The sequence below is a fragment of the Homo sapiens genome, chromosome 2, assembly GCF_000001405.40.
Source record: "Homo sapiens chromosome 2, GRCh38.p14 Primary Assembly".
NCBI classification, from domain to species: Eukaryota; Metazoa; Chordata; class Mammalia; order Primates; family Hominidae; genus Homo; species Homo sapiens.
In genome coordinates this window covers 185937201-185961842 of record NC_000002.12, presented here as the reverse complement: position 1 = coordinate 185961842, position 24642 = coordinate 185937201, and the positions used below count along the sequence as shown (strand labels likewise).

General features: G+C 33.7%; 1 pseudogene, besides 1 other annotated feature; it reads left to right on the top strand.

Moving 5' to 3' along the window:
* On the top strand, positions 4791-5256 carry RPL21P32 (ribosomal protein L21 pseudogene 32; annotated as a pseudogene).
* Positions 11034-11234: a silencer, noted in NCBI's record as "peak3973 fragment used in MPRA reporter construct". NCBI's record gives its function as "represses an SCP1 promoter by STARR-seq MPRAs in K562 erythroleukemia cells {active_cell/tissue: K562}" and the evidence as "EXISTENCE:reporter gene assay evidence [ECO:0000049][PMID:32103011]".

Genomic DNA, 24642 nt, shown 5'->3' with positions numbered 1-24642 from the left:
ATTAACGCTCTTTATTCTTTTAGGGTAGATCTACTTGCATCAAATTATCTTGGTTTTCATTCATCTTAAAATGTTTTGATTTCCCTTTCATTTCTGAATGATATTTTTTCTGTCTATAAAATTCTAGGTTGGTAGTTTTTTTTTTTTCAGTACTTGAATTAGGCTTTGTCATTTCCTTTCAGCCTCCTTTGATTTCTCATGAGAAATGCACTGTCATTGGAATCGTTTTTCCCTTAAAGGTAATGCATCAATTTCTCTGTATGCTTTCTAAAATATTCTTTGTTTTTAAATTTCAGATAATTAACTATGATGTGTTTTGTCATAGATTTCTTTCAGTTTATCCTATTTAAGATTTGATCAGATTCTTGAAATTGTGAGTTTATCTCTCTCTCTTTCCCTGTGTGTGTGTGTGTGTGTGTGTGTGTGTGTGTGTGTGTTGTCAGATTTGGAAAATATTCTGCCATTATTTCTTCAAAAATTTTCAACCTTAATCTTTTTTCTTTCCTTTTACGTATTGATTACCCAATGCTTAATCTTTTGTAATATTATAGTACCACATATTCCTGAGGCTCTGTTCTTTTTTCCCAGTTTATTTTTTCTCTGTTGTTCATAATAGGCCATTTCTATGTTCAGTCTCCAAGTTCACTGTTTCATTCTCTGTCCTCTCCATTCTGCTATTGAATCACTTATATTTTATTTTGGTTATAACATTTTTATTTTGAAAATTTCCATTTCATTCTTTTTTGTATTTTCTGGGTTTCTTTTGCTGTGGCTTTCTATTTTTTATTTGTTTTAATATATTGATTAAAGCATTTTTATGATGATTGCTATAAAATCCTTACCACATATCTCTAATATTTGGGTCATCTTAATGTTCATGTTTTTTATTGTATTTTCCCAATTGATTTTAGATTTTTTTGGTTCTCAGCATAGTCAATAATATTTTTATTAAATTCTGGACTGGTTAAGCATTATAAAACTCTAGTAGAACTTATCTGAAATAATATTATACCAGTACCATGCTGTTTCAGTGACTATGGCCTTGTAGTATAGTTTGAAGTCAGGTAATGTGATGCCTCAAGATTTGTTCTTTTTGCTTAGTCTTTCTTTGACTATGCAGGCTCTTTTTTGGTTGCATGAATTTTAGGATTGTTTTTTCTAGTTATATGAAGAATGATGGTGGCATTTTGATGGGGATTGCATTGAATGTGTAGATTGCTTTTGCAGTATGGTCATTTTCACAATATTAATTCTACCCATCCATGAGCATGGGATGAGTTTCTGTTTGTTTGTGTCGCCTATGATTTATTTCAGCAGTGTTTCCTCATTTTTGTTGTAGTGGTCTTCCATCTCCTTAATTTTGTAACTTGAAAATTTTCTGAATTCATTTACCAGTTCTAGGAGCTTTCTGGATGCGTTTTTAGGGTTTTCTAGGTACATGATCATATCATCAGCAAACAGCGACAGTTCGACTTCCCCTTTACTGATTTGAATGCCCTTTATTCTTTCTCTTGTCTGATTGCTTTGGCTAGGACTTTCAGTGCTATGTTGAATAGAAGTGGTGAAAGTGGGCATCCCTATCTTGTTCCAGTTCTCAGGGGGAATGCTTTCAACTTTTCCTTGTTCAGTAAAATGTTGGCTGGGGGTTTGTCATAGATGGCTTTTATTACTTTAAGGTATGTCCCTTATATGCTAATTTTGCTGAGGGTTTTAATCATAAAGGGATGCTAGAGTTTGTCAAATGCTCTTTCTGCATCTATTGAGATAATTACGGGATTTTTTACATTTTAATTCTGTTTATGTGGTGTATGACATTTTTTGACTTGTATGTGTTAAACCATTCCTGCCTCCCTTGTGTAAAACCCACTTGATTATGGTAGATTATCCTTCTTATATGCTGTTGGATTCTTTTGGCAAGTATTTTGTTGAGGATTTTTGCATCTATGTTAATCAGTGTTATTGGTCTGTACATTTCATTTTTTGTTATGTCCTGGTTTTGGTATTAGGGCGATACTAGCTTTACACAATGATTTAGGGAGGATTCTATCTTTCCTTATCTTTTGGAATATTGTCAATAGTATTGGTACCAATTCTTCTTTGAATGTCTGATAGAATTCAGCTGTGAATCCGTCAGGTCCTGAACTTTTCTTTGTTGGCATTTTTTTTTTTTTTTTTTTTTTTTTTTTTTACCGTTTTAATCTCACTGCTTGTTATTGGCCTGTTTAGAGTTTCTATATCTTCCTGGTCACCAAAACAGCATGATACTGGTATAAAAAATAGACACATAGACCAATGAAACAGAATAGAGAAACCTAGAAATAAAGCCAAATACTTAGAGTCAACTGATCTTCAACAAAGCAAACAAAAACATAAAGTGGGTAAAGGACACCTTACTCAACAAATGGTGCTGGAGTAATTGGCAAGCCACATGTAGAAGAATTAAACTAGATCTTCATCTCCCACCTTATACAAAAATCAACTCAAGATGGATCAAATACTTAAATCTAAGAGCTGAAACCATGAAAATTTTAGAAGATAACATCAGAAAAGCCCTTCTAGATATTAGCTTAAGGAGAGACTTCATGGCCAAGAACCGAAAAGCAAATGTAACAAAAACAAAGATAAATAGATGAGACTTAATTAAACTAAAAAAATTCTACACAGAAAAATAAATAATAAGCAGAGTTAACAGACAACACACAGAGTGGGAGAAAATCTTCACAATCTGCACATCCAACAAAGGACAACATCCAGAATCTACCAAGAACTCAAACAAATCATCAGGAAAAAATTAAACAATCCTACCAAAAAGCAGACTAAAGACATGAATAGACAATTCTCAAAAGAAGATATACAAATGGGCAACAAGTATATGGAAAAATGCTCAACATCACTAATTATCAGGGACATGCAAATCAAAACCACAGTGAGATGCCACCCTACTCCTGCAAGAATGGCCATGACAAAAAAAATAAAAAATAATAGATATTGGCATGAATGTGGTAAAAAGGGAACAGTTTTATACTGTTGGCAGGAATGTAAACTAGTACAACCACTGTGGAAAACAGTGTGGAGATTCCTTAGAGAATTAAAAGTAGATCTACCATTTGATCCAGCAATCCCACTACTAGGTATCTACTTGGAAGAAAAGAAGTCATTATACGAAAAGGACATTTGCATATACATGTTGATAGCAGCACAATTCACAATTGCAAAATTATGGAACCAGCCCAAATGCCCATCAATTAATCAATGAGTGGATAACAAAATATGAGAGATATGTATATCATATATATATCCATATATATATATATCCCTATATATATCCATATATATATATAGTATATGGCTGAGTGGTATCCCTATGTATATATATCCATATATGTCCATATATACATATACATATATATATATCCATATATACATATACACATATATATCCATATATACATATACACATATATATCCATATACACATATACATATATATATATCCATATACATATATGTGTATATATATACAGGGATACCACTCAGCCATAAAAAGGAATGAAATAATGGCATTTGCAGCAACCTGGATGGAACTGGAGACTATTACTATAAGTGAAGTAACTCAGTAACGAAAAACCAAACATCACATGTTCTCACTCATAAGTGGGAGCTACGCAGTGAGGACACAAAAGCATAAGAGAGGGCTTTGGGTACTTGGGGGAAATAGTGGGAGGAGATGAGGGATAAAAGACTACACATTGAGTACAGTGTACACCTGCTCCCTAAAAACCTATTGAAATAAAAAAAATAATTTTTAAAAAATCTTATTTTATGAGATATCTTCTGAGATCACTCTGGTAAGTGAATGAGGATAATACCTTGTTACTGTCTATGAGAATAAGAAAATCCTAATTCTGCATGGTTTTTTTTTGATACCACACTAGACAGCCAGGGTAAGGGATTTGTGTTGTTACAGCTAGGCAAGAGTTGAAGTCTAGACTCTTCCCTCAACATTTGCTGGTAGGGATGAAAATGAGGCCAAAATTTTCATAATTTCTGCACTGTTTAGCTGGAATACAGTGATTACCTAAAAGTTTTCTATCGTGCTAAATTGCTCCATTCCAGGTTCTCTAACTAGAGACAGTATGCTTTTCTTGGGGACATTTTTGTCTGCTTCTGTTGGCATTTCATTTTTTTTTTTTTCTGGTTTCTTCAGTACCCAGTCTAGAGTATATGAGGCAAAAAGAAACTCCAGTAAAATTCCCTCCATGTCATTGCTTGTGTCCCAAGTTACCTGTATAGTCTGCCTTCTCTCTATTTTTCCAAATATTCCTATATTTATGTTATATATATTCTTATATTTATGTTATATATAATGCCCAGGGGGTTTGTTGTACTTAATGGAAGGAACAGAAAAAACTACCTCTGCTCTACCTTCCCAGAAGTGCAAGTCCTGCCATTTGCATTTTAAAAATAATTTTTACATATACAATACATTTATATACATCCATATAAAGTCATAACAAATTTCCTTTTGTTATAACTTTATATTTGTATAGATATAATTTATATAGATATAATATATACTATACTAATAATATATAAATATAAATATATGAAAAACTATATTTTCATAGGTTATCACTGAAAGAGTACACATGAAACTTATAGCAGAAATTATTGCTGAAGAAATGTTACAAAATACTGTGTACTATTTAAAACATTATTCACACTTTAAATTTAGCCTTTCAGTTAGAACCTCCTTCTTCCAGTAATCCACCAAAGTGATGAACACAAAGGTAAAGAGGAGGAGAAGCACCCAATATATGTTCTCTAGGCTTTTTAGAAAATATGGAGGTGCTCCTTTGGCCATATACATGTGAACCTGTAAGAATGGTGATACTGCAGACATCAAAGAATGCATACTGTTCAAAAAGGAATGCCCCACAAATGTTACCAGGGAAAAACTGGAATATTCTACAATGTACCCAGCATGCTGTTGGCATTGTTATAAATAAACAAGTTAAGAACAAGATTCTTGCCAAGATAATTAACGTGCATGTTGAGCATATTAAGTGCTCTGACAACCGAGATAACTTTTTGAAATGCAGGAAGGAAAATGATCAGAAAAAGAAGGAAGCAAAAGAGAAAGGTATGTGAGTTCAACTGAAGTGCCAGCCTGCTCTACCCAAAGAAGTATACTTTCTGAGACCTAGTGCAAAGCCTGAGCTGCTGGAACCTATTTCCTGTGAATTCATGGCATAATAGGTGTAAAAAAAAATAGAAGACCTTTTGACTATAAACAAACAAACTGAAAAATATATATGTCTAGACAAAACACTTTAAAAGCCCTTTACAAGGGAATATCCAAATGGGAAATAAACGTAAGAAAAGGTGATCAACTTTATTATTTATCAGGTAAGTGCAAATTCAAATCACATTACAATTCTGCTGCATATTCACAATTGCTAAAATGAAAAAATGAGAAAAGGAAAAAAGGTAGACATATGGAGCAACTAAAAATCCACACACTGCTGGTTGTACAGTAATTTATTCTATCATTTGGCAGCGTTTACTAGAGGAGAGCATATCCATAACCAGCCATTTAACTTCTAAGTATATTCCTAACAGAAATGCACATACATGTTCAAATGACATGCACAGGAATATAAGTAATAGTCTTAGTCATAATGGTAGAATATTGGCAACTACCATAGGTAAAATATAGGAATAAATTTTCAACTCTTTATCAACTAGAATACTGTAGAACAATGAAAGTGAATGAACTACAACTACAAGCAACATTATGAATGTATCTCACAACATATGGTTGAATCAATAAAATCCAATCTTTATTTGTATGCTTCTCAGGATAAAATGTTTTTGAAAATCTAATATAATATATGGCATTAAAAGGAGAATGGAGGTTACCCTTCAGGCACAATGAATAAAAGGGTGCATTAAAGGGACTTCTGGAGTGCTGTCAATGTTCTGCTTTTTGATCTAGGTGCTGGTTGCATGGGGGAATTTAAATTGTAAAAAGTCATCAAACCATACACGTATGATTTCTCAACTTTTCTATATATTATACCTCAAAAATTCAAAAATGAATGAAAATTTTCTTATAATTAAACTATGGAAATATAAATGCAGTGAACTTATTGGAACACTTCTTTTTTATACATACTGATTAACAAAAAGAATTTTCTATGTTTTTAATTATCATTTTGCAAAAAATCAAGTGAAGATTATTTTGTCTTCTCTTTGCTTTCCAGATTCTTAAGCATTTCAATTAAACATCATTGGGCAGGGGGTATATGGGCAAGGAGTATGTGAGGTTGCATTTGGCACAAAGAAAATCTTAATAAATTATAAATATTCAATGTTTTAATTTAGACCACGTTTTACAACCATAATAAAGTTAGAAATTAAAAGTTCCAATGAGTCAAATGTAAGAGTACACAAAAATTTATAAAACTTATTCAAAACAAATAAAATAAACATTAAATTACTAACATTTAAGAAAATTAAATCAATGAAAAAAATGTGTACAAGAAAAAGAAGATCAATAATGTCTCAGACCTAAAAATCTAGAAATCAGCCTTTGGCTCCCCCTTTCTGTCACACCTACATACCTAGTCTAGCAACAATTTTGCTAGACCAGGGTTTCTCAAGCGCAACACCATTGAAATTTTGGGCTGGATGATTCTTTGTATTAGGAGTTGTCTTGTGCTTTGTAGAATGGCTAACATCATTCCTGGCATCTACCATCTAGATGCCAGTTGTACCACCTCCATCCCTGGTTGTGACAATCAAAAAGGTCTCCATATATTGCCAGATGTTCTCTAGGCACAAAATAAACCAATTTGAAATGATGGCATTAGACCCTACCTCTTTATTTTGAATCCTTCCATTTCTTTTCCATTCCACTCCTAACTCCCTGTTCAAAGTCAGTGTCTTCTCTTGTATGAACTATTAAAGCAATTTCTCTTTGTTTTCAATCATGGTTCTTTATGATTCATTCTTCACACAGCAGCCATATAAATATATTTTGTCACTTTTCAATGGCTTCACTGGGGACTTAAAATAAATATTAAACTTTTCACCTATGGCTACGAGGCCTGAATTACTTGGCATCTCTTCATCTTTCTGGACTTATGTTCTGCCTTTCTTACCCAATCTCATGACATTTTCGACATCTGGAATTTCTTCACTTTTTCTATGTTAACTTAGCTCATTTTCATCTTTGGCTCTTTTGCAGGTCTCTGCCTGGAATGCTCTTCTGGAATGTTGCATCACTCACCTTTCAGTTCAAAATTAAACATTGTCTTCTCAAATAGTCTTTCTCTGATCACAAGCTCTAAATCAGTCACATTTTAAATTTCTTCAAACTCAAAGCATTTTAATTATCTTCATAGTAGTTATTATATTTTCTTTATTATTATTTGCTATCCCTCAAATAAAAAAATAAAAAGGTCAGACTCATGAAGATCAGAGAGATCTGACCAATAAGAAAGGTTACTAGAAATTCAATGGATGCAGGCAATCGCATGATCAAGGAAGAGCATGTCTAAAACAGTCTAAAACCATCAGCATATCTCATATGTCTTCTTTCATTGGGGACATTGGATTGAGATTTAACATACGAGGTTTAAAGCAATGCATGTGAAGCATCATTTATACAAAAGTAACTGTATTGGTCATAAAACATATCCATTTTATACCCAATAATTACATGAGATGTAATATTTTCCAGCATACTTTGCTCCATAATTCCATCAATTCCAAATTTATATTTTATAAGCAACTAGAGCAGGTCCTGAGAAAAGCATTCCACAGATAAAGACTCTATTTCCTTCTGGTAAATACCATCAGAGGGTCTGATAACATGTTGTCAAGATGACTTGACCTGAACATTTTTCTTTTTCTGACTGCATGTATGTCCTCATGGGAATGGTGATAAGCTGTAGGCCAGCTACTAACCCTTTTCTTCCTACTCCAAATACACTCCCCATCTCCCAACACAAACCCACTTTTTCAGAGCAAGTACTTTCAGAGACGTCACTTCTGTATCTCCTGTACCTAAAACTACACCTAGCACTTAGTAGCTTATGAAGTTTATAAATAAATAAACAAAAAGTTACAAGAAAATCTAATGCTCATTGATGATGCAAGATAAAATTTCATTTAATTATAATATAATACTAGAATTATTCAGAAATAAAATAGCAATAAAGAGATCTTAACATGCCTCTATCAAAATTAAAAACATAAATATAAATTATTGGCATATAAGAATAAAATATGATTAGTAAGACTGTTCTAGCATAAACATGCTCTCTCACATACAGAAACAGACACGTATGTCAAACCACTTGTGTGCTGGAGCCAGCTCATAGCTTGTAAGAGCCAACTGTTTTATTAATTTTGTGTCAGTTGTTAAATACAGTTGTTACTATGAAAATTATAAAACATAAAACTAAATAAATAATTTAAAAAATAAAAGTAATAAAAATGGAAAAACATCACTTTCTAATTAGTTTACTGCATTGTACTATTATCTATGCCTTCAAGTTTATGTTTATTGTATCTTTGGGGTGGAATTACTAGATAATTGTGTATTACTACTCATTTCTTTCTAACTCCACATTTAATTACATTACTTTGGGAGTGTAAGATTGGCCACAGTAAGAGTATTTATGCCATAAATATTTTAAAAATGCTACAAATTAGGCTTTTTCATTTTGTGATGAGAGCTAGTTGTTAAATAAACATTTACCAGCACATCATTATACCAAACTGTATAATAATATAAAGAGGAAAAAATAGAGCAGGTGAACAGAAAAATGGACCAAAAAATAAAAAAAGGTTAGAAAAAAAAGAACTATAAAAGGTTAATGAAATAGAGATTGATAAACTAATGTCAATTAACTTTTTTCTTAATAACAGAAACTGTGTTGTTTGGGACAGTGATGGCACCAGCTGGATATGATTCTCAGGTTCCCTTGAAATTAGGGATGGCCTTATGATAGTTCTTGTCCATCAGGCATAAGCAGAAATGTTGGCCATTTGGGAAAAGCTTCAGTTTTATCAGGTAGGTTCTATATATATGTGTGTGTGTGTGTGTGTGTGTGTATATATATAGATACACATTTATATACACATATATGTGTGTGTATATATATATAGATACACATTTATATACACATATATGTGTGTGTATATATATATAGATACACATTTATATACACATATATATGTGTGTATATATATAGAACCTATCTGTATTTTTTATATATATATAACCTATCATTTTATATATATAACCTATCATTTTATATATATATATGTATGTATGTATGTATATACATGTAAAATATCATTCTACCTGAAAGAGGAACTTGATGTATAAAGCTATTTATCTCCTGATTTTTATGGAAAATAAATCAACCTCTAAATTCCTCACTTGTTTATTTCACTGTGCTGAGAGTTCTCTGCTATATGACGTCTAATGCAAATATCAAATACACACATATTAAGAAATAGATGGGTGGGGTGCGGTTAGTCATGCCTTTAATCCTAGTACTCTGAGAGGCAGAGGAGGAAGAATTGCTTGAGTCCAGGAGTGCGAGAGCAGCCTGGGCAACACAGAAAGACCCTGTCTCTACAAAAAAATATTAAAAATTAGCTGGGCATGGTGGTGCACACCTATAATTTCAGCTAATTTGGAGGCTGAGATGGGAGGACCCTTTGAGCCCAGGAGTTTCAGGCTGCAGTGAGCTACGATCACACCACTGTACTCCAGTCTGAGTGACGTAATGAGACCCTGTCTCTAAAAAGAAAAGAAAAGAAATAGATGAAGCGATATCAACTGAAATACATAAAGATCTGGAAAATAAAGAAAAAGAAAAAAAAAAGCCTCTTTTTTGGCAAAATAATAAAAACTCCAGAAAATATTCACTGTTTAGTAGGTGTAAAAAAGAAGTATTCCAATAGCTTTCATATTGTTTTAGGGAAAATAAATCATCCAAAACTACTTAAAAATAGTAAGATGAAAAAATTTAAAACCCATAATTTTGGCTGGGCTCAGGACGTTGGGTGGCTGAGGTGGGAGGATCACATGAGCCCAGGAGTTTGAGATCAACCCGGGCAACTTGGGCAACCAAGTGACACCCTGTCTCTAAAAAATAAATAAATAAATAAATAAATAAAACTTACAATTTCACTTACAAGAGATAATCCTAGAGAAATATATAAAATAATATTTTGTTATAAAATATGGAATAATAATAAACAATACCAACAACTCAAAAACAACTTAAGATATTTAACATTCATCTCTTAGGTAATGTGCTAAAAGCTTTATGTGTATTACTGCCTTGAATTTTTATTAGAATCCTATGACTCAGACAGTATTATCTGCAGTTCATATATTAGAAAATTGGACTTTTGAGGTGTTTACATAATTCTGCTTCAAGTGACACAGCCAATATGTGGTAGAATTTGAATGCAGTGTTTATGATTAACAAGTCCATGCTATTGACTATTTTACAAAATTTTACATTGGTATAGAAATTGTGTGTGTATGTGTACACATATACGTATTGTGGAAATATATGTATACATATATATGGTGGAAAAGTCATTTTATACTTTTTGTAGTATGACCAAATAATATAAACAGAGAGGACAGTCATAGATGCCTAGAAAAACATATATATTTTAAAAATTAACTATAGTTAATTTTTAATTAACTATAACTATAATTAAAAATTAACTATAGTTAATTTTTAATTAACTATAACTATAATTAAAAATTAACTATAACTATAATTAAAATTAACTATAGTTATTCTTTGTGGGTGATTTTAATGGGGACTTTCACTTAGAGCAATATAGTGGTTGAAAATGTTAGAATTTGTACTTCTATTAATTTATATTCAGGAAAAACAATTAAAATCTTAAAATTCAGTGAAATGGCTTCATTAATATGGAGATTATGAAATAATAGACTTACAATACCTTAAGACTTTACTATACTCAATCAGTCATATTCTCCCAGCGTTCACATTATGGATGCTTTTGTGTAGCAGATATACATTCATACTTTGAGGCGGCTGGCAAGATGGCGGAATAGAAACAGCTTCGGTCTGCAGCTCCCAGCGAGATCAACCCAGAAGGCGGGTGATTTCTGCATTTCCAACTGAGGTACTTGCTTTGTTCTTGAGAGTTTGAAGCTTACATTGTCTAAAAAGTTGGGATTCAAAGTGACAGTTGATCCTGACTCACACGTCAAAATAATTCAAGAGATTTCCTTAAGCTCTATCGTGCTTTAAAATCAACATGCCTGGGAATGTAAATTAGTATCGTCATTAGAGAAAACAGTATGGAGGTTCCTCAAACAATTAAAAATAAAATTACTGTATGATCTAACAATCCCATTACTGGCTATATATTCAAAGGATATGAAATCAGTATGTTAAATAGTTATATGTACTCCCATGTTTATTGCAACATTATTAACAATAGCCAAGAAATGGAATCAACCTAAGCGTCTATCAACAGATAAATGAATAAAGAAAATGTGGTATACATACACAATGAAATACTATTCAGCCTTAAAAGAGGGGGAAATTCTGTCGTTTGTGACAACATGAATAAATCTGGAGGACACTAATGTTAGGTGAAATAAGTTATGCACAGAAAGATAAATACTGCATGATCTCACTTACATGTGCAATCTGAAAAAAGTCAAATTCAGAAGCGGAGAGTAGAATGGTGGCTACCAGGGGTTGGGGGTGATGGAGGGATTGGGGAAATATTGGTCAAAGGATACCAAATTTTATTTAGACAGAAGGGATTAGTTCAAGAGCTCTGTTGTACAACATGGTGACTATAGTCAATAACAACGCATTCTATACTTGAAAACTGCTAAGAGATTTTAAGTGTTCTCACTACAAATATGATATGTAAGGCTGAAAAAAAAGATCACCATGGCAAAGACCATGTTTATTTTTGTTCAGTAAATACTTCATTTATTTGTATTTGTTGGTTCTCATCTTCCCCATATAGTTGAAGTATTATGCTTATTGGTGAAAATTAGAGAAAATATATTTTAAAATTTTAAAGAATATAATTTTTTTTTTGAGACGGAGTCTCTCTCTGTCCCCAGGCTGGAGTGCAGTGATGTGATCCCAGCTCACTGCAAGCTCCACCTCCCGGGTTCATGCCATTCTCCTGCCTCAGCCTCCCGAGTAGCTGGGACTATCATTTTTAAAAACTATGATCTTCTTACTCAAAAGTAAAGATTATAGTATGCTATATTTTCTATTTCTAGAATATTTTAAATCTGGTTGCAATTGTATTGCACCCTGATTTTTTGTCAATTAACATTATTTTGACATGCCATTAGTAATTTTTAATAAACTTAATTTTAGCATGTGCACAAGTATTTATTAAAGTAGTATAATATAACTGGAGTAATTTCTGTTATCTCAATTATTCCCCTTTTAAATAAGGCAAAAGTAATTTTTGTTTATTTGTGTTTTTTCTTAGCGTGCATTTCTGATTATTTTCCTAGGCAAGTTTTGCTCCCCCAGACTTATTGAGGTATAATTGACAAATAATAATTGTATATGTTTCAGGTGTACAACAGGATAATTTAGATGGATGTGTACACAATCAAGCTAATTAACATATTTATCACCTGATATAGTTAACTTTTGTGTGCATGTGTGTAGTGAAACACTTAAGATCTACTTTATTAGCAAATTTCAAGTGTACAATACAATATTATTAACTATAGTCACCATGCTGTAATGCTTTAAAATACTGTATTTTATTTCTCTAGCTACTATATGATTTTTTTAAATTTCTTTTTTTAGAAAGTTCATTTTTAGTATATAAAAACACTACTGATATGTTGTTTTGTATCCTGCAACTTTACTGAGCTTCTTTATTAGTTCTAACAGTTTTTTTGTGGCGTCTTTAGGGCTTTTTATATATAAAATCATATCATCTGCAAACAGCTACAGTTGCACTACCTACTTTCTAATTGGGATGCGTTTTATTTCTTTCTCTTGACTAATTGCTCTGGCTAGGACTTCTAGTACTATGTTAAACAAGTGATGACATTGAGCATCTTCATTTTGTTGTTGATCTTAGACATAGCTTTTAGTTTTTCAACATTAAATTTGATGTTAGCGCTTGGCTTAGACAAGTTTTTTTTTAAGTTAAAGTAGTTCTAAGATTATAGCTGCTCAAAACCTAGGAAACCAGCTATTTAACATAACGGTATTCAAAACCAATAGTTACTTGAAAAAGGAAACACTTTGCTATTCTGACAGATTAAATTGTGCTTTATTATTTTACGTTGAATAACTTGTATTTTGATGCTAAGAATCACATATTTTCTTTGACTTTTTAATGTTCTATACCTTACAGCTGAATTCAAATCATGGTAGCTTTGTATTAAAGTAAACGATGTCTATAACAATTGCTTTGATTTCCATAACCATAATAATTATCATCATGATCCTCATCCGAATAATTATCAAAAGTTTGAGAACTCAAATCCTAAATGATAATATTCCATATTTTTAATGCTAAGCTAATGTGTCACATTCCCTACAGAATATTTTGTTAATAGATTTGCACAGGATCAGTGTGAAATCTCCTTTTCTAAGAAAGTTACAGGTGGAAAAGTTGAAGAATGTATCCCTCTTCTCTAGCATACATGATTGTTATTAAGCAATTTTGTTATAGCCTCTTTAATACTTCTATTATTCAGGACTCTTCAGAGAAACAAACTAAGGACGTGTGCATGTGTACTTGTTTATTATAAAGAGTTGGCTCACAAGATTATGGAGACCGACATGTCCTAAGATCTGCAGGGAGAGTCAGCAGAATTGCTGGAGTCTCAGAATTGCTGATGGTGTGATTCTAGCCTAAAGACCTGCAGCCTCAAGACACAGGAATTGCCAATGTTTCAGTTCAATTCTGAAGGCAGGAAAAAGCTGAAGTCTCAGCTTAAAGGCAGTCAGGCAGAAGAAATTCTCTCTTACTTAGAGATCAGCTTTTTCTCATTATTCAGGCCTTCAATTGATTGGATGAGGCCCACTTACATTGGGGAGGGCAATGTGCTTTACTCAGTGTGCCACTTTAAATGTTAATGTTATCCAAAAACACACTCACAGAAATACCCAGAATAATGTTTGAACAAATATCTAGGTACTTCATGGCCAATTCAGTTTACTTATAAAATTACCCATTACAATATTCATATCTATTGAGTAATCACTCTATGAGACGCACTTTTCTCAGGACTTTATGTATAGTAGTTTATTGAATACTCATAAGCCTATGAATTGTTATTATTTTTTTCTCATCTATTTTAAAAGTAAAGATCAGGTAACTTGACCAAGAGCAAAAAGCTGAAAAAGGTAGTGTTAGGATTTCAATTCCAGTTTTCACAAAATTTGCATTCTTTATTACAATCCAACACTGCTTCTCCTGATTGGGCAATTTTGGTTACAAAAGGGATTGTCAAAACTGTAATATTTACTTCTGAATACTTCCCAGAGTGAAAAAATGTACTAACATTATGTTTAGACAGTAGGTATAAATTGGGACAATAAGTTGGAGGTAGACTCACCACAAATAAATTTTTGGTAAAAGAGCTATTCGATAGCTATATAAGATTGCATACCTTCTACTACTCCTTGTAATAAGAGTAAGAATTTTAGAATAAACATCCTCGCATTTGACTCAGTATGCATAGGTGACATGGCTAACTGAAAAATATGAATTCAAGGCAGCCTGATTAGTTACAGAAGGACCTATAGGGCCAAACAAACACATAAACATTCTCAAGGGCCACAGCTAAAGCAGAGAGCTGGCACTTTGTAGAAAACATTAGAAGGAGACCCTGAACTGAAAATCAACTGATAAAGATTCAGTGGTTAAGACGTACTTGTAGCATTGAATATACAAAGGCTAACTTAATAGTAAAGACTTTGAAACAATGAAGTTGAATTCTAGTATTTGGGGTACAAAGAAATAAAGGAATGCTGGATCCTCAAAATAGAATCTGCAATAATGAAAAAGGTATGAAATCGAAACTAGCCCAGAAAATATACCCACCCCTTGAAAAGTCTCCTAGATTTGTGGTGGTCCCTTGGAATCTGTGGGGAATTCATTTCAGGACCTCACACAGATATCCAAGTCCATGGATGCTCAAGTTCCTCATATAAAATATTTTAGTGTTTGCATATAACCTATGCACATCCTCCTGTATACTTTAAACTATCTCTAGATTACTTATAATACCTAATCCAATGTAAGTGCTGTATAAATAGTTGTAATTTTTAGGGAATAATGACAAGGAAAAAAGTCTGTGTGTGGTCACTATAAACACAATTAAATTTTTTTTTTTTTTTTTTTTTTTTTAGACAGAGTCTGGCTCTGTCACCCAGGCTGGAGTGCAGTGGTGCCATCCCAGCTCACTGCAACCTCCGCCTCTCGGTTTAAGGATTCTCCTGCCCCAGCCTCCCAAGTAGCTGGGACTACAGGCATGCGCCACCATGCCTGGCTAATTTTTTGTATTTTTAGAAGAGACAGGGTTTCACCATGTTGGCCAGGATGGTCTCGTTCTCTTGACCTCATGATCCGCCCACCTCAGCCTCCCAAAGTGCTGGAATTACAGGTGTGAGCCACCGTGCCTGGCTTTTTTTTTTTTTTTTTTTTTTTTTTGAGACAGAGTCTCATCCTGTTGCCCAGGCTGGAGTGCAATGGCGCGATCTCGCCTCACTGCAACCTCTGCCTTCTGGGTTCAAGCGATTCTCCTGCCTCAGCCTTCCGAGTAGCTGGGATTACAGGCATGCCACTACACTCAGCTAATTTGTTGTATCTTTAGTAGAGACGGGGTTTCACCATGTTGGCCAGGCTGGTCTCGAACTCTTGACCTCATGATCCACCCACCATGGCCTCCCAAAGTTCTGGGACTACAGGCGTGAGCCACTGCGTCCAGCCAAAAAATTTTTAATATATGGTTGTTTAAATCCATGTATATAGAACCCATGTATTTGGAAACTGCTGAAGTTTTCAGTTGCTTTGTAAGAAAATTTGGGATACTGCCATCAGAAACACAGTCTATATCTCTTATAATTTTGTTCATTCATTTTAGAAGTACTATATTAATTATATATTGTTGTAAATTACTCCAATATTTAGCAACTTAAAACTGCAAACATTTATTATCTTAGAAATCCTGTAGATCATCAGTTTGGGAGCAGCTTAGATGGCTGGTATTGGCTCAAGGTCTCATAACTGTGTAGTCAAGCTGTGAGCTGGGCCTGAATTCTCCTCTAAAGGCTTGGCTAGGGCAGAATTTGCTTCCAAAGTCACTTGCAAGATTTTTGGCAGACATCAGTTTCGTGTGGGCTGTAGGACTGATAATGTCAACTCACTGTTGGCTGTTGGCTCTATGGACCTTTCTGTAAGACACCTCACAACATGGTAGCTGGCTTCACCCAGAGCAAATGATCTAAGACAAATTGAGGAAGAGTGCACCTCAGACATATGACCTAATCTCAGAAGTAATATTACTTCTGATGTATTTTTAAGGATGCTTTATTGAAATGATCTACAAAATTTGCAAATATTTAATGTATACATTTTGATGGTTTGAACATATGTATACACCACTGATATCATCCCCACAATCAAGGTACTAAAAATACCCATTACTTCCAGAAATTTCTTTGTGTTCTGTTGTGTTTTCTTGTATGTGTCTCTGTGTGTGTGTATATGTGTGTGTGTGATAAGAATACCTTAACACGAGACCTATCCCCTTAACATATTTCAAAGTGCACAATACTGTATTGTTAATTATAGTTACCATGCTGTACAACATATTTCTATACCTTATTTGTCTTGCATAACTGAAACTTTACATCCATTTAGCAACAATTTCCCATTTCCTCCTCCCCCATCTACTAACAACCAGTATTCTATTTCTGCTTGTATGAATTTGACTACTTTAGATACCTCATATACGTGGGATTATGCAGCATTTGCCCTTCTATGACTGGCTTATTTAACTTAGTGGTATATCCTCTAGGTCCATTCATGTTGTCTCAAATAGAATTTACTTTTTTAAGGCTGAATAATATTCCACTGTATGTATACAACATTTTCTTTATTTATCTTTCAATGGATATTTGAATTGTTTCCATATCTTGGCTATTGTGAATGATGCTGCAGTTAACAAGGGGGTACAGATATCTCTCCAAGATTCTGATTTCAATTATTTCATATATATACAATCAGAAGTAGAATTTTGGGATCACAAGGTAGTTCTATTTTTAATTTTTTTTGGAAAATATCTATACCATTTTCTATGTTATCTAAACCAGTTTACATTACACCTAATAGTGTCTAAAGAATTACAATTTCTTTACATCTTTACTAACACTTATCATTTTCATTGGAAATGAGTCACTGAATCCAGCCCACACACAAGACAAGGTAATTATATACAGGCCTGGATAGCAAGAGGTAGAGATGATTGGGGTTCATCTCAGAGGCTGCCTTCTACAGGGTCCCCTGTAACTCCCAATGATTCACACCCCTCTGACATTTGAGATACACTGTCTCATTTCCAAGGCCACTCAAAGTCTCATTTTACTATAGCATCAGCACAAACTCCAAAATCTTATTCTTTAAATGAGGTCCAGGTGTTGATAAGGCTTCTCAGGTGTAATGTCTTAAGTACAACTATTTGAACACAGTTTATCTTGACCTGTGAAATTGAAGATATAAACTATCTGTTTCCCTGCCACACACCTGCCATACAATGGTGGGATAGACACAGGATAACCACTATAGACACTCCTATTAAAAACCCTAAAACTAGGAAGCTCAAGTGAGTCACTGGTCTGTAGAATTCCTGAAATTCAAGTGGACTACTGTTGAGAGTTTCTTAAATAGTTTCAAGGCCTGGGAATAAATCTCCATGGCTCTGAAATCTACCTTTTAGGCTCTTTTAAGTCATGTTTACTTTTGTATGAAATGTGGCACATATTCACAGCTGAGCAGTCCTCTCAGCCTGCTTCGCATTTCCAATATTCATTGGAATTTGTTTCCATTCTAATTGTTAGAATCTCATTTCTTCCTAATCAATGTCCTAACTTTAATAAAAGAGAGCCTAACATGTTTAAGAGTTCATCGTGCTTGTGGTCAGCCACCCAAAAGATTAAACTTTAATTTTTAGAAATATTGGTCCTGTGGCTTCAGGAAGAGAGCTCTTTTTCTCCAGGTCATTCATAAAGGCTTTCATGTCTCTTATGTAAGGCCTTGAGCTAGGAATTTTAAGTAACAAGCTTATCATTGTCTTTCCTTAAGCATTCCAGTGCAGTTAGATGCAACTAAACAAACAACCATATAATTCTCTTATTTTAACTGTAATATTCTGTCAGGGCAAATGCATCATCACCCAGAGCCTTGCCTATATTAGAAGCATCTTAGCATGATAATTTGAGTAACTGTTTTGCCACTGCATGCCATGTACTTTCAGTGCTTTCTTTACCATTGGAAGCAAAGTCAATGTTTTTATATCAAATCAGATTAGAGAACTCATGTTCTATGGTTTGAATATGTCCCCTCCAAAATTAATGTGTTGCTAGTGAGATAGTATTGAGGTGGAACCTTTAAGAGGTAATTGAGCCGTAAGAGCTCCTCCCTCACATATGTGATTAAAGCCTCTACTAAAGAAGCTTCACACGGTGTTCAGTCTCTTGCCCTTCCACTTTCCACGTGAGGACACAGTGTCCCCCCATCCAGAGAGTAAAGCCCTCACCAAATAACTGAACCTGTCAGCACCTTTGTCTCGGACTTTTCAGGATCCAGAACTGTGAGAAAGCAATTTCTTTTCTTTATAAACTACCCAATTTATGATATTTTTTGTTACATTAGCACAAAGTGGACTAAGACATCATCTCATAAATCATAGAATCAATTTAGAGAACTCATCCTTAAGAGTCTTTTTCTGGAATCATTCCCAATGCTGAATTACATGTCACTTAGGGTTCAATCAGAGAAGTGGAACCAATAGTGGATAATAGAGATTGCTACTTACACCATTATTAATTCCCTAACCCAAAACTCCAAGGTCCACATGTCATTTTCGTGAAATATCAATTGTGGAAGAAACTTTGTGTCCTTTTGTTAGGCTCAGGTAATCGATCCTGACTCTCCTCTCATGGTCAGCCAATTAATATCATTTAGCTTGTAATGTCCCTTGATCAGGGATACGCAGATTCAGCTGACAAATTTCCAGAATTTTGAACTTTAGGAAGAGAAAGTTGGGTCTCTACCACCAAAGAGACCTCTAGTTAAATAAATTGGTCCATACTTTCCAGATCTCTGAATATTAAAAACAAGGTATAGTGCAGTCATGCCATGTTGAAACAATTTTTTCTCTAAAAGTGTTTATTACTATATTTAATTTGTATAAACTGAGTTTCTCTAAAGTCTCAAAAAACCAAAGATATATTTCTACAAGGTGATCTCTTTCTGTCTATGTAGAGAAGTGGCTAGAAGCTTCTTCAAATTGAGAAAGACCAAAGTTCTTTATTGTGTTTGGTGAAGGAGAAGAAGAAATATTCCTGCTTCCCTGGTCTTAATATTATCAAAATCTCTCTCACAGTTTCTCAACAGCTTTTATGAAAACAAATTCAAAATATTGGAAGAAGTGACTGACACACCAGATGTACAGATATTAATGCAAGGACACAGGAAATACAAAAAAGCAAGAAAATATGACACATCCTAAGGGATACAATAATTATCCAGCAATAGATCCCAATCAAAAAGAAATTAACACATTCTGGGAAAAGTAATTTAAAGTATTGATTCTAAAGAAGTTCAGGGAGATTCAAGAGAATTTTGAAAAGCAATTCAAATAAATTGAAAAAACAATTCAGGATATAATAATAAATTAATAAGATAGATATCATAGAAAAAGAACCAAACAAAATTTCTGGAACTAAAGAATTTATTGAATAAATGCAAATAAATACATTTAAAGGCTTCACGAATAGACTAGACCAAGTAGAATTAAGAATCTCATAACTTGAAGACAGACAAATATAAAAGAATTTAAAAAATGAATAAAGCCTTTGTAATATATGGGACACCATAAAGCAACCAAATTTTTGCACTATTGCAGTTCCAAAGAGCAAAAAGAAAAGGAAAAGTTTAGAAAACCCATTTAACAAATAATAGGTGGAAACTTCCTAAGTCGAGCCAAATATTTAGACATCAAGATACAGAAGGCTCTGAGATCACCAAGCAGATATAATGCAAAAAGGTCTTCTCCATGGCACATTACAGTCAAACTGTCTAAAGTCTAAGGCAAAGGGAGAATTTTAAAAACTGGAACAGTATAATGTCTATAAAGAAACTTGCATTAGACTAATGGAAAATTACTCAGCAGAAATCTTACAGGCCAGTAGAAATGGAATAATACATTCAAAGTGCTGAAAGAAAATAAAAACCTGCTAGCCCAGGTTTTTGAAGGCATCAAAATTAGCCTTCATAAATAAAGAAATAAATTCTTTCCCAGACATGCAAAAGCTGAGAGAATTCATCAACACTAGGTCAGTCCTATGAGAAATACTCAAGAAACCCAGAAGTGAAAGGACGGCAATATGATCATGAAACCACACAAAGGTATAAAACTCAATGGTAAAGCATACACACAAAGGAGAAAGAGAGGATTCAAATGGTACTACAGAGAAAACTACCAAAGCACAATGACAAACAATGGCAGAAAAAGGAACAAAGAATACACCAAACAACCAAAAAACAATTAACAATATGACAGGAACAAAACCTGTTATATCAATAATATCAGTAATAACTTTGAATGTACATGGATTAAATTCTCCATTTAAAAGATAGAGACTGAATGAATTTAAAAACATGATTCAAGTATATGCTGCATACAAGAAATGCACTTTACCCGTAAAGATACATATAGATTGAAAGTAAAGGAATGTAGGCCAGGCACGGTGGCTCATGCCTGTAATCCCAGCACTTTGGGAGGCCGAGGCGGGTGGATCAGGAGGTCAGGAGATCGAGACCATCCTGGCTAACGGTGAAACCCCGTCTCTACTAAAGAAAATGCAAAAAATTAGTCAGGCATGGTGGTGGGTGCCTGTAGTCCCAGCTACTTGGGAGGCTGAGGCAGGAGAATGGCATGAACCCAGGAGGCGGAAATTGCAGTGAGCCGAGATCGCACCACTCCACTTCAGCCTGGGTGACAAAGCGAGACTCTGTCTCAAAAAAAAAAAAAAAAAAAAAAAAAAAGAAAGAAAGAAAGTAAAGGGATGTAAAAAGATATTCCACACAAGCAGAAAACACAAATGAGCATAAGTAGAGATGCTTATATCTGATAAAACATATTTAATCCAAAAACAGTTAAAAAAAAAGACAAAGAAGGTTGTTATATAATGTTAAAGGGATTAATCTAGCAAGAGGATATGAGAATTCTAAATATATATGATGTATATGCACTCAACATGGAGCATGGAGATTCATAAAGCAAATATTATTAAATTTAAAGATAGAGAGATTCCAATACAATAATAATGGGGGATTTCAATACCCCACTCATAGCACTAGACAGATCACCTAGATACAAAACACAGAAACATTGGATTTAAACTGGACTTTAGACCAAGTGAACCTAACAGAAATGTATAGAGCATTATATTCAGCAGCTGCAGAATACACATTCTTCTTGTCAGCACATGGAACATTCTCAAGGATAAACCATATATTAGGCCACAAAACAAGTCTCAACAAATTGTTAGAAATCAAAATCATATCAAGTATCTTAAGTATTTTCTCAAACCACAATAAGATGAACTGGAAATAAATACTAATAATAACTCACAAAAACTTTACAAATACATAGAAATTAAACAATGTGTTCCTGAATGACCATTGGGTCAATGGAGAAATTAAGATAAAAATTTGGAAAAAAATAAGTCTTGACACAAATGAGATTAAACCATAACAGATCAAAACCTGTAGAATACAACAAAAGCAATACTAAAGTGGAAGTTTATAGCAACAAATACCTACAGCAAAAAAAGTAGAAGTATTTCAAATAAACAATTTTATGATGTCCCTAAAAGAACTAGAAGAGTGAGAATACATAAAACCTAAAATTATCAAAAGGAAAGAAACTGTAAAGATCAGAACAGACCTAAATGAAATATAGACTAGAAAACAGTACAAAGCATCAAGGAAATGAGAAGTTGGTTCTTTGAAAATATAAGCAAAACTGATAAATTCCCTCCTAGATTAACAAAGAAAAGAAGAGAGAGCACCCAAATAAGCAAAATCAGACTTTAAAAAGACGTTACAACTGATACCACAGAATTACAAAAGATTATCAGAGACTAAATGTAGGTATGAGGCTATGAATCAGAGGCTATATGCTATATGAAAAACTATATGCTAACAAACTGAAAATCCAGAGGCAATAATTTCTGGAAATGTACAACCTACCAAGATTGAATGAAAAAGAAATAGGAAACATAAACATACCAATAATAAGTAACAAGACTGAATCTGTAAAAAAAAGTCTCCCAACAAAGAAAAGTGTAGGATCTGATGAATTCACTGCATAATCCTACAAAATATATAAGAAAGAACCATTACAAATCTTCTGCAAACTATTCCAATAAAATTGAAGAGGAGGAAATACTTCCTAACTCATTCTACAAGTCTAGCATAACCTTAATAACAAAAGCAGATAAGCACGCAACAATGACAACAACAAAAACTACAGGTGACTATCCCTGATACACATAGATGCAAAAATTCTCAATGAAATACTAGCAATCTGAATTTAGCAGCGCATCAAAAAGACTGTACACCATGATAAAGTGGCACTTATCCCAGGGATGCAAGAATGGTTTACCATATGCAAATCAATAAACATGATACATCACATAAATAAAATAAGGTCAAACACCATATGATTATCTCAACAGATGCAGAAAAAAGATAAAATTTAACGTCCCTTCATGATAAATACTCTCCACAAACTAATCATAGTCAACATATTAAAAGCCATATATGACAAACCAAACAGCATTATACTGAATGGGGAGAAGTTGAAAGCTTTTCTTCTAAGAACTGGAACAAGACAAGGTGCCTACTTTCACCACTCCTGTTCAACATAGTACTGGAAGTCCTATCCAGAATAATCATGCAAGAAAAAAAATAAAAGACAACCAAATTGGAAAGAGGAAAGTCGAATTGTGCCCTTTTGTAGATGACATGATTTGAAATTTAGAAAAGGATCCCACCAAAATCTCTTAGAGCTGATAAGCAAATTTGGTAAAATTTCAGAATATGAAATCAACATACAAAAATCAATAACATTTCTATGTATCAATAAAGAAATTAAGAAGGAATTCAATTTACAATAGCTACAGAAAAACACTTAGGAAATCATTTAACCAAGGGAGTAAAAGCTCACTACAAGAAAAACCACAAAACATTGATGAAAGAAATTGGAGAGGACACAAACAAATGAAAAAAAATCTCATGCTCATAGATCAGAAGAATTAATATCATTATAATGACCATACTACCGAAAGCAATATAAATATATATAGAATGAAATCTCTACATAGTTTCAGTGTTATTTTTCACAAAAATAGAAAAACCATAAAATTCATATGAAACCAAAAAAGAGTCAGAATAGTCAATCTAATCCTAAGCAAAGTGAACAAAGCTGGAGGCATCACACTACTTGACTTCAATATATATTACAAGGGTCTGGGCATGGTGGCCCATGCCTGTAATCCTATCACTTTGAGAGGCCGAAGTGGCAGGATTGCTTGAGCCCGGGAGCTTGTGATCAAGCAATATGGTAGGAACTCTTCTTTACAAAAAAATTTAAAATAATTAGCCATTTGTGGTGGCATGCACATTTAGTCCCAGCTACTTGAGAAGCTGAAGTGGATCACTTGAGCCTGGGAGCTCCAGGATACAGTGAGCTGAGACTGTGCCACTGTACTCTAGCCTCTGTGATAGAGTGAGATCCTGTCTCAAACACACACAAGCACACACACAAGTGCGCACACACACACACACACACATATATATCTATATCTATATCTATCTATCTATCTATCTATCTATCTATCTATCTATCTATCTATCTATCTATCTATCTATATCAAGGCTATAGTAACCAGAACAGCATGGTATTGGTATGAAAATAGAAACACAGACCGAGGGAACAGAATAGAGTACCCAGGAATAAATCCACATAGTTATAGTTAATTGTTTTTCAGCAAGGCACCAAGAACATACACTGGGGAAAGCACATTTCTCCAACAAGTGGTGCTGGGAACATTGGATATCCATATGCGGAAGAATAAAACTGATGGTCTGGGCAACGATTTTATGGTTAAGACCTCAAAAGCACAGACAACTAAAACAAAAGTAAACAAACAGTTCTATATTAAACTAAAAGGCTTCTACATAGCAGATGAAACAACCAACAGAGCGAAGAGGCAACCTGTTGAATAGGAGAAAATATCTGCAAACTATTCATCCTGACAA